We start from the raw sequence: 12,550 nt of genomic DNA on the forward strand, positions 1-12,550 counted from the left end.
TTCAAGTGATTCTCCTGCCTCAGCCTCCTGAGTAGCTGGGATTACAGGTGTGTGCCACCACGCCTGGCTAATTTTGTATTTTTAGTAGATATGGGGTTTCTCCATGTTGGTCAGGCTGTTCTCAAACTCCTGACCTCAGGTGTTCCACCCGCCTCAGCCTCCCAAAGTGCTGGGATTACAGGCATGAGCCACCGTGCCCGGCCAAAAAATGACCCATTACCTTCAAAGGAACAAAAATTAGACTAGCAACTGACTTCTCAAGAGAAATAATGGAAGACAGAAAACAATGAATTGATGTCTTTTAAATCATGAAAGAAAATGTCTGCTAAAATAAAATGCTGAAGCTAGCAAAAAATCCTTCAAAAATGAATATAAAATAAAGACATTTTGTACACACTGAATTTTGTCTAAGAGAAGTTATCACCAGCAGACCTACACTAAAGGAAATAGTAACTGGTGTTTTCCCAGGTAGAAGGAAACCATCCCACAGAGAGGGTAAGAGAAGTCAGAAGGAATGAAAATGGTAAATGTGTGGCTAAATCAAAGTGATTAATTACTATATAAAGATAATGAGGGCCAGGCACAGTGGCTCACACCTGTAATCCCACACTTTGGGAGGCTAAGGCGGGCAGATCACTTGAAGTCAGGAGTTTGAGATCAGCTTGGCCAATATGCTGAAACCCCGTCTCTACTAAACATACAAAAATTAGCCGAGTGTGGTGATGCGCACTTGTAGTCCTAGCTACTCGGGAGGCTGAGGCAGAAGAATCCGGGAGGTGGAGGTTGCAGTGAGCCAAGATCATGCCACTGCACTCCAGCCTGGGCAACAGAGCGAGACTCCATCTGAAAAAGAAAAAAAAAAAAGATAATGAGGCTTCCATTCATATGAAAGTGAAATGAACAGGGAAATCTGTAGAGACAGTAGATAAATGGTTTCATAGACTAGGGCTGGGGTTGGGAGATAGAGGATGGTAGCTAATGAGTATGAGATATCTTTCTGAAGAGATCATGATGTTCTAAAATTGACTGTGGCGATAGTTGCACACCTGTGAATATACTAAAAATCATTGAATTGTACCCTTTAAATGGATGAATTGTAAGCATTCTAGTGGTATTTAAATTATATGGTGCATCCAGCCTGGGTGACACAGCTAGACCCCATCTCAAACAAAATAAAACAAAACAAAAAATATGTATGTATAGAATTAAAATACAGGACAGTATGGCATATAAGTTGGAAAGAGATGAATGGAGTTAACACATTCTGAGTTTCTTGCTGTGTCAGGAATAAATGTATATAAATTTACATATAGACATAAATTTAGATATTAGATATAAATTAAATGCTTCAATTAAAACAAAGATTGTCAGCCTGAATTTTTAAAAAGCAACAACAAAGACATGGTTTATAAGAGACATAGCTAAAACTTAAGAATACAAAAGGTTGAGAATAAAAGAAAATAATAATTAAAATATACCATGCAAATATTAATTTTTAAAAAGCTGATGCAGTTATCTTAATAGCAAGTAGGCTTTAAGCCAAAAAGCAGTATAGAGATAAAGAGGGTTTTTTTCTTAATATAAAAGTCTCAATTCATCAGAAAAAAGGGTAATAAATTTAAAAAATTCTTACTTTGAAAATAAGAAATATACTTCTAAATATTTCATAGATTCAAGTATCAATCACAATGGGGGTTAGAAACTATTTTAGATTGAATGTTAATTGAAATATGACATATCTAAACATTGGGATACAGTTTAAAATATGCTTAGAGAGAAATATATAGTCTCAAATACACATATTAGAAAAGAAGAAAGGCTGGAAAAGTATTTATCTCAAAATAATAGAAAAATAAACAACAAATTGATCCCAAATAAATTAGAAAAAACAATAAAAATAAGAACAGAATTTAATAATATAGAAAACAATCATACAATAGACTGAATCAATAAAGCCAAAAGTAGGTCATTTGAAAAGACTGATAACATTGATAAATGGCTGGAAAGAGTTACCAAAGAAGAAAAAGAGAGTAGAAACAAATAACCAACAAAAAGAGAGATACCCTACATAAACATATAATTTTAATTAGAATTTAAAATATAATAAAATCATAGTATTAACTATTTTACACCAATGAATTTCAAATAAATTAGGTTAAGTGAATATATTTCTAGTAAAACACAACTTACCAAAACAGACACAAGAAGAAATGGAAAACTCCAGTAGAACTATTCATAATTCATAATTAAAACTCTTCCTTAAAGAAAATTCTAGGTCCAGATGATGTACAGGCAAATTCTACCAAATGTATTATACAAACTCTTACAGAGAATAGAAAAAGATGAAATACTTCTCAACTCACTTTATAAAATAAGCTATAATCTTGATACCAAACCCTGACAAGGATAATATAAGAAAGGAAAATTACAAGCAGTCTCGCTCATGAACATAAATGCAAAAACCCTAACCAAAATATTGCAAAAATTATTCTAGGAATATGTAATTAGGATATGTATCTTAGTTAAATTGGGTTTATTCCTGGATGCCAGGTTAGTATAAAGCTTAAAAATTAGTATAGTTCACTATGTTAGTTGAATAAAGGAGAAAAATCCAATTATAACCTCAATAGATACAGAAAATGCATATGATAAAATTTATTATCTAGTCACAACATAAAACTCTTGGAAACCAGAAATAAAAGAAAATTTTCTTGATTTGATAAAAAGTATCTAGAAAAGTATATTAGAGCAAACATCCTACTTAACGGTGAAATGCTGAGTTTCTTTTGAGATGTGGAATGTGACAGAAATACTTGCTATTCCTACTTCCATTCAACTTTATACTGAAAATCTTGGCCAATATGATAAGAAAAAAAATTAAAGGCAGAAGGATTGGAAAGCAAAAAAATAAAATTATCATTATTTGCATTTGATATCAGGTTACAGAAAAGAATCCATGAGAATCCATTGATCAATCACTCATACAAAAAATTAGTATTGGGGGATCACAGATGTAAATCTGAAAGGCAAAACAATAGTGCTTTAAAAAAATAACATAGAAGTACTTTCTATGTAAGAGAAATTTTTTTAAACAATACACACAAAAAAACACTGATCATGACAGGAAAAAAGTACAATTCTGACTACACTAGAATTTTAAAACTGTTCATCATATAAGAAAGTGAAAAGGCAAGCCATAGAGTGGAAGAAGATATGTATAAAAATTATAACTGGCCATATTCTGAATATGTAAAGAATGATTACAAATCAATAACTAAAAGACAACTCAGTAGGAAAGCAGAGGAGAGATTTGAACTGGAACTTCACAAAAGAGGAGGTTCTCAACCTCGTTTGTCATCAGGGAATGCAAATTAAAATAATAATGCAGTACCACTATCTACTATTGCAAAAGGTTGTAAAGGTTGTACATTGTATCACACATGTACAATGGTGTATGTGTGATGCCACTGTGTACCCACCAGAATGGCTAATCTTAAAAAAGACTTACAATATGAAGAGTTAGTGAGAATGTGGAGTAATAGAAACTACCATGTTTTGCTGATGAGAGTTTGAATTGGTACCACCACTTTGGAAAACTTTTGTCCACGTTCCCTGTGACCTAGCAATTCCTTTCCTACTTACATGCCCAGTAAAAATGTGTGCATGGTGGTATCAATAAAAATGTATAAGAATGTTCATTGCAGTATTTATTATTTATATTAGCTAGAAACTGGAAACAACTCAAATGTCTATCAAGAGAAGAATCTCTTGATATATTGGGGTACATCTGTACAATGGAAAATCACACAGCAATAGAAATAGATATACTACAATACATGCAACAAACATTTTGAATGAAAGAAGTTGGACGCCAAAGAGTACTGTATGGTTTCGTTTAGGTGAAGTTTAATATTAGTAAAGCAATATTTTAGTGTTTAGGGATGCATCCTTAGGTGATAAAAGTATAAAGAAAAAGAAGGAAATTATATGAGACAGGTTCACTCATGAGCTAGAAACCATCACACAAGCTATTTCAACAGGAGGAATTTAATGTAAAATTATTAGGTATTGCCGGGCATGGTGGCTCACGCCTGTAATCCCAGCACTTTGGGAGGCCGAGGTGGGTGGATCACCTGAGGTCAGGAGTTCAACACCAGCCTGGCCAACACGGTGAAACCCTGTCTCTATTAAAAAATACAAAAATTAGTCGGGTCTGGTGGCACGCGCCTGTAATCCCAGCTACTCGGGAGGCTGATGCAGGAGAATTGCTTGAACCCAGGAGGCAGAGGTTGCAGTGAGCCAAGATCGCGCCATTGCACTCCAGCCTGGGCAACAAGAGTAAAACTCTGTCTCAAAATAAAATAAAATAAAATAAAATAAATAAAATAAAATATAAAATTATTAGGTATTAAAGAACTAAAAAGGCAAAATGAGTTCATAGAGGTAGTAATTGCAGGAAGCAGCTGAGGGAGCGGGGCAGAGGAAAGAGGTCAAAATGACTAAAACTTCAAAACTTGGAGCTGGGTCAGGCGTTTCTGAGAAGGGGGTGCAGCCCGGCTGACAGGTATTGGTGTCTCTAAAGGGGCACCATGAGATTGTTTCTGAGTGTCGGGGAAACTACAAATAGGAACCAACTTCTACTATGAAACAAACTACTTTGTTGTGTTGGAGCTGACAGGTACAGACAAATAGGATAAAGCTTTCTTTCCTTTCACCCTCCTCTAAGCGCCTTCCCCTATAGCGCCCCCTATAGGCAGAATGTGAGAGGGAGGCAGCTGGCCATGCAGGGGGTCGGGGGGCACCCTACATCTTATGAGTGCAAGCCTGGTGGCAGTGTACAGGGTGACCTAGAGGAATGGGAGGGACCAATGCGGGGAGGCAGCAGGAGGCTGCTGCTGTGAAAATCGTAGGGAGCAAGCAGAGGTGAGCCTGGCTTCATGGGTGGCCCAAGTGGTCAGGTGCAGATGAGGCAAAGCACCTGGAGACTGAGCAGCCCCTTAGCCACTGGAGGGCCAAGGAAATGCACCCTGATGCTCTGAACACATCCCTCTTCCATCCCAGCCTCCTGAAAAGTGTCAAGAGGTGATTCTGGGACAGAGGAGCCAGCAGATGGACTGGCTCCAGGAAGAGTTCCTGAGGTGTCTGAACCAATTCCAGTCTGCATTCCTGTAGTTGGCAGAGGCCTCCAGAGAGAACAGCAAGATCTGGGCTCACGTGTCTCAGTCCCCTGTTTCCTTTTTTCCTTCCCAATTTCCTTCCTTCAGCCTTTCCTTTCTTACTAATTCCTTACTCTTCCTTTCTTCCTTCCTGCCTGCCCTCCCTCTGTTCCTCCTGTCTCCCTTTCTCTCACACATTTACTAACCCATGATCAGACATAACACCCATGCATATAAACATACACACCCACATATCCACCTCCTACACATATATTATTTATATATATCCCCCTCACACACACACATTCAAACACACACTACAAATGCAGCTTCATTCATACACATTTCAGGTATATTTTCCTTATGGCTTGCCAGATAACTTGCAAATTCAGTGTTCAAGATCATGGTCTCCTTGTAAGTCATGGCAGCCACATTTTCCAGGTAGAGAACCTGAGATTCAGAGATGTTGAAGAATTTCCTCAAGGTCACAAAGCTGGGAAGTGACAGAATCGAGATTAGCCCTCAAGTGCTCCTGGCTCTGATTATTCTTTAGCCACACCCTGCTCTCCCTACACATGCAGACACAGACACACACAGATGCATCCTGCAATCATCCACACATAAGTGGTTATATTTCTACCCACATGGGCACTTATACACATACCCAGACATGGAAAGAAATTTCACTGACTTGTCACTAACAGTTCTAAGGAAGAATCTGTCTTTCCAAAAATGTTCTGGCTTTCTTGTAGATAAGCCTTCTGAATTGTACGTATTAGCTCCTTAGAGACACCCAGAGGACTTAGTTCAATAGACTTGCTCTGACAGGGGTAGAAGACAAATGGTAGGGATGAGGCTTTGTGTTGTGTGTTTGATTTTTGCAGCTCTTTCTACCTTATCTCAGCTCATAGTCCATTCTCACAATAACCCTGTATGTGGACATGGAAGGAACTATTATACCCATGTTACATATGGGGAAACTGGGAATCAGGGTGTTCAGGGGGCACCCAGGTGCCTCCACCTCCTTAATCATCAAGGATCTCACTTTTCTTCAATGCCCAAATAACAACAATTCAAGCTGCCTTCTCCCTTGAGTTCAGAAAGTCCACTGCACAACCCCCCAAGTGATGTCATGGGTACCCAGGAGGAATACTTAAATGTTTTAGCAGTCCCTCCTGGCTCTCCCATGTCACATCCTATTTGAGCATGTTTGTTCCTCTAGTGGTCATCTCTGATTTCCTCAAACCTCTGCTTAACCTCTGACTTTCTTCCTTTCCAAAGCCAGGATACCAGCTCTCCCTTAATTCTCAAAACACATCTCTTTGGTTGCTTTTAGCTATAAGTAAGTAACAGAAAACCCAACTCAAATGCGTTTAAACAATATAGACATTTTATTCCATTTCTTTAACCAGAAGTTCCAAAGGAGGGTACCTGGTACCTCCAAGGTTAATTAATTCAGTGGCTCAGCAATATTATCAGGGACCCAGGTTCTTTCCACTTTCTCCCTCCACCATCCTTATGTGTGTTGGTTTTGCTCCCAAGTTGACTCTGTTTTCCCCTGAGTCATAAGCTGGCTCACACTATTCCAGGCATCACTCAGGGAAAAAAAATCTCCAGCAAAAGAAGAGTTTTTTTCTTCCTGTGTGTCTCTTTGTAACAGAAAGGAAGCCTTTTCTAGAAGTCTCTCCACAGAATTGCACTTACATGTCATTGGACAGAATTTTATCACATAAGCAAACTTCTGGGTGTAACTGATAAATATCTTTATTATTTTGATTATAGTGATAGTTTCACAGCTGTGTTCATGTGTCAAATTGTATGCTTTAAATGTGCACAAGATATTGTATGTGTCAATCATACTTCAATAAAGCTGTTTCAATAATTTTTGCATAAGTAGCAAATAAATATGCTCTCCTGGTAAAAAGTTAAGACATTATATATAAAGCGAAACTATCCTTTTCCACTATCTCTCTGTCCTTCCAGTTAACAGATTAGTGTGTATCTTTACAGATCTTTTTCTGTACATTTATGGATATGATGTACCCACGGAATATATAGAGTACTACCTGTTTGTTATTCTTTTTCCATAAAAGTCATGTTGTATGTAAGATGTTGCAATTTCCTTTTTAGAACACGATATTTCTTGGAGCTGTTTCTAAGTCAGTATTTAGAGGTTCACCTAATTATTTTTAGCTGGATAGTATTGCGAGATACAGGTATAGCCTGGTTTATCCAGACATTCCTCTCTGCTTTCGTTTGTTCTCAACTTTCCATTATTTCAAACAGTCCTTCAACAAGGATCCTCAGGCAGGCCTCTTTGTACAAAGTCTCTGACATGGATCCCAGACAATAGGGTTTGGACAATTTTAATTGCTCTCCAAAGCGGCTGCACCCGCCAGCAGTGGTTAAGAGCACACATTTTTCCAACAATGTTTGATGTTCTCAAATTTTTGTTTGCCATATTATGGATGAAAAATGATATGTCATTCTTTTAATTTGTATTTTAAGGGGAGTTTTCACAGAAGAAAAGATTTCTGCACCCCAGTCTTGGCCATTCTAATCTGAGGCTTAAGAATCTGAGTGATTTGGCCAGGCTCAGTGGCTGATGCCTGTAATCCCAGCACTTTGGGAGGCTGAGGTGGGCAGATCACTTGAGGTCAAGAGTTTGAGACCAGCCTGACCAACATGGTGAAACCCTGTCTCTACTAAACATACATAAAAAACTAGCTGGGCATGGTGGCGCACACCTGTAGTCCCAGCTACTTGGGAGGCTGAGACAGAAGAATTGCTTGAACCTAGGAGGCGAAGGTTGCAGTGAGCAGAGATCTCACCACAGCACTCCAGCCTGGGTGACAGAGTGAGACACTGTCTCGAAAAAAAGAATTAAAAGAGAGAGAGAGAGAGAATCTGAGTAATTTTTTCCAGGTGATGTGCAGTGAGGTTTGGTGATGTCTCTTCCAGCTCTGTTGTTCTGTGATCCTGACACTCCTGCCTCCTCCTAGGCATGGGACTTGTTTAGGCCCAAGGTCTACACCATCTTTGCCACTTAAATTGCTGCTTTCTCCATGGGGGAAGATTTTTAAGACAAAGAAGTCCTGGTGACTCTGGCCTTTTACTGCGTGTGACTGATGGAGCCATATTTCAGATGTCCCACTGAGGAAATCCTACTCCTGGGAAGGAAGAGACTAACCCATGCTGCTCTATTGTTTGCTGGACACTATGCTGGGCTTTGTTGTCATTTGATTTCTACTGGGTCATTTAAACATCGCAGCAACCTTGGGAAATATTATTGTCCTCATTTTACAGATGAGGAAACTGAAGTACACAGTGACTTAGTAATTTGCCCAAGGTCACATAGCTACTATGGAGCCCCTATCCCAGATTTGACAGACTCCAAAGCCTGTGCTCTTTTCATTATACCACCTGCCTACAAATTAAGGTGTCTAAGGAGACAGAGACCATGGATGGCCAGTGCCTCCTTTCCAGAGATGCTCAGAGGAGTCTACTCACTTTGGCTCCCAATTCTCAGCCCCTTCCTGCCTTAACAACCCAAGTTCCTGACTCTTGGAGGTCTCTAGAAGGTAAGAGTCATATTTTATTTGACTTAGCATGTAGTAGCTAGAAGATGAGCATCATATTTTATTTGACTTAGTATGTAGTAGCTTCTTTGATCAATCCTGGGGAATGTGTTCCTGAAAATATGGACTGGGGAATAGATGGATTGGGGTACGAGAGAGAGAAGGATTAAGTTCCACCTTCTGATCATCCTTGCTGCTTCCACCTTCTGAAATTCATGCAGAATATATCTATAAAAGTGACTTGTCTCAGTGAATTACAGTCAATGTTTCAATTTCTTGAGCTTTTTTTTTTTTTTTGGATTCTGAGAAACTTTAAAAGAATAGTATATGCCAAATTACCATGTATCCGCCGTGTAAAAATAACCAAAAAAAATTGTCAGATTTCTTTTTTTTTAATAAAATAAGCAATATGTCACTCATCTGAAGATGAAATCCCCTGATTCCCATTCCAGGTTTCATTTCCTCCTCACCTCATCCCCCAGGAACCTCAGATATAAATTTTGATAATTTCTGCCTAATCTGTTTTTATACTTATAAGTATCCATTAAATACATGTATCATGAACAAATAAAAATAACAAAAGTAGTTTATATAAATGGTATCACACTGTACCTATTATTCTGCTGCCTGCTTTTCTCCTCTTTATGCTGTGCCACTGAGAGCCCTTTAAAACTTAAGAATCATGTCTTCTCTAATCACCACATCCCTGGTTGCCTTGTACATTCCAAATGCTTAATAAATGAGAAAGGAAAGAAGGAAGGAAGGGAGGAGGGAGGGAGGAAAGAAGGAAGAGAGAGAGGAGGGAAAAAAGTAGGGAGGAGGGAAGAAAGGAGGGAAGAAGGAGAAAAGGAAGGGTGGAAGGAAGCCCAGCCAACAGGGTCAGTCTTTCCCATCAAAACTTCTTGTGTGGCTCCCAATTAGAACGGAGGGTAATTACAAACGTATAAGTCCTCCATGTTATGATTTCCCTGATTCTGAGAACTGTTCACATCCCATTAGAGCAGACAGCCTCTCTATCCTGCGATCTGCTCCAGGGAAGTCCCAGGCATGACTGCAAGAAGTTCCAGGCCACACAGCCGCCTAATGTGCTTAGCTCAACTGTGGCTCAACTCTCGCTGGTCATAAATCAACCAGGCAAGGCTGAAGCCTGCATTACTCTCTATCTCTCAAAACCCCTCAAGGATTTGGGGAATTAGCTGCCAGTTCAAACACTTGTCTGCCCTCCTTTCCTTCTCCCACTCCATCTTTGTCTCTGTCAACCACAGAGTGCCTCTCAGTGCCTGTCTCTGCCTCTCTGGGCATCTTTCTCACTGAGCATCTCTCTGTCTCTGGTTCAAAATTATGCCTCTGTCTGCCTCTCTTCAGCCCCTGCATCTACCTTCCTGCACTCCCGCTTCCCTCCCCTGAGCCTTGCTGCAGCCATAGATCCAGGATCCCAGCTGGGTCATAGATCTCTTCGTTACTGCTGTTCTTTCCCTCTTGCTTTTAAGAATGCTTTTTATGGTGGCTTCTAGCACAAACAGCTGTTGGAACTTGTTTGAAAAAACCTCCGGGAACAGATGCTCTGGCAGCCCTTCAGATTCTTCTTTCCTCTGCAATCTGAGATGGGTTGGGGAAGAAATTCATTCATTCATTAACCCATTAAACAAATATTTATTGAGCTCCTATTATGTGCCTATCACTGAAGTAGCTGTTGAGACTAGGTAAAACAGCCCTTACAGAGTTTATAGTCTAATGAGGGGAGGCAGATTAAATCTAATAATCACTAAAATATGTAATATCAAACAGTGATCAATACTATGAAAAAAATGATCCACAGGTCCACAGTGCTCTAATAATAATGGTTAATGTCTATTAAATGTTTATTATATACTTGACTCTATTCTAACCATTTCACATACATTTATTTTAACAAAGACTTCCAACATCCTATTTTACACATGATGAAACAGAGGAACAGAGTGGTTAAGCAACTTGCTTATGAGCACACAGCTTGTGGGTAGGGGAGCCAAGATTTGAACACAACATGGGGGTTGGGGGAGCAAGAGGAGGAAAGCCTTCCCTGAGCTCAGTTTCCTCCACATATGAATAGAATTTTCTTTTCCAAGATCATGTTGAGACTAGGAGGCAGAAACAGGACCAGGGTCTGGCCTTCTGAATCCCAAACTCATCTGGTTCTAAAGGCAAATAGGCTGGAGTATAAGCACTGGCTCTCCTGCTAAGCCCCGTGAGATTTTGTGGAAAAGTAAGTGGAGCATGGGGGTGGGGAGATGGTAGGATTAGAGACTTCCTGCTAAAATGGGTATGTGGGAGCTGGAGCACCCTAAGCTCCTGGAAGGAAGGACTGTGTTGTGTTCTCCATTGCGTCCCCACCACGTAACACAGCAGCACTTAGCAGGTGCTTGGTCTGTATTTATTGAAAAATGAATGAATGGATATGTTGAATTAAATGTAAGTGAATTAAGTGAAAAGGATGAAACAGATGGAAGCTTCATGTTTCTTCCAAGCTAGGGGTTTATGATTCCGGTAACTTCATTTCTTTCTCCTCTCACTAACACTAGCCAACAGTGCAGAGATATTCTGCCAGGTATCTGGATCTGTTTCTCTCTTTTCTTTTCAGTCTGCATATCCAAAATGTTTTCCTGCTGTTGCACAAAACTCCCTTTCAAAATTTTTTCAGTTTTTGCTGATTCAATTAAGAGCTTAGTTTGATCTCAAAACTTTACCCCTTCTTAAGTCCCTTTTGATAAAACAGTCCCCAGGGTACTTCTTTGAAGCCTCTTCATGAGTTTTGGAGCTGAGTAAAATGCCGACCACTTACAGGATAATTACATTGGAGCAGACACATTGTTCCTAGAATCTGTTTCCCAATCTGAGTAAACAGAGCCTGGTCCTTTTTATGTTGTAATAAGCACTACCTTCTTCATTTTCCTCTCATCTGGAGAGCTGCCTGTGAGTTATTTCATCTCTGGTCCAGGGAAGAGGAAAGGAATGGTTGAGAGAACATCTTCCACAGGAAATTTGGCTAGGAGGGGTCTTTTGGATGGGAGGGTGACATTTGGCGGATTCTGTCACATTCTCAATGATTCTCTTTAGAACAGTGTCTGGCATATAATTGTAATAATTATTATTACTATTATTGTTATTATTGACATGCAAAGCACCTTTACATTCATGCTTACATTTGATCACGTAAGGTAACATATTCAAAGATTCCAAAGATTAGGATGTAGACATATTTGCGGGACCATTATTTTGCCTACTACAAATTTTAAAATAGGTATTATTATTATCCCCGCCCTCCATCTTTTTTTTTTTTTTTTTTTTTTTTTTTTTTTTGAGCCGGAGCCTCTTTCTGTTGCCCAGGCTGGAATGCAGTGGTGCAATCTCTGCTGTCTGCAACCTCTGCCTCCCAGGTTCTAGTGATTCTCCTGCCTCAACCTCCCGAAGAGCTGGGATTACAGTCACATGCCACCACACACGGCTAATTTTTGTATTTTTAGTAGAGACAGGATTTCACCATGTTGGCCAGGCTGGTCTCAAACTCCTGACCTCAAGTGATCCACCCTCCTCAACCTCTCAAAGTGCTGGGATTACAAGTGTGAGCCACACTCCCAGCTATTATTATCTCTATTTTATAAAGAGAAAAGCTAAGGCTTAGAAAAGTTATAGCATCCCTTTTGACAACTAGTAAGAGCCAAAGCCTTGATTCATTACCAGGGGGTCTGATCCAGTGTCTATATTCATTGCGTTATTCTCCCCTCCAACCCAGTTATGGATTTTAGGTCACACAGACCTGGGCAAGTCACTTAACCA

The sequence above is a fragment of the Homo sapiens genome, chromosome 5 (genome assembly GCF_000001405.40).
Source record: "Homo sapiens chromosome 5, GRCh38.p14 Primary Assembly".
In the NCBI taxonomy this organism is placed as follows: Eukaryota; Metazoa; Chordata; class Mammalia; order Primates; family Hominidae; genus Homo; species Homo sapiens.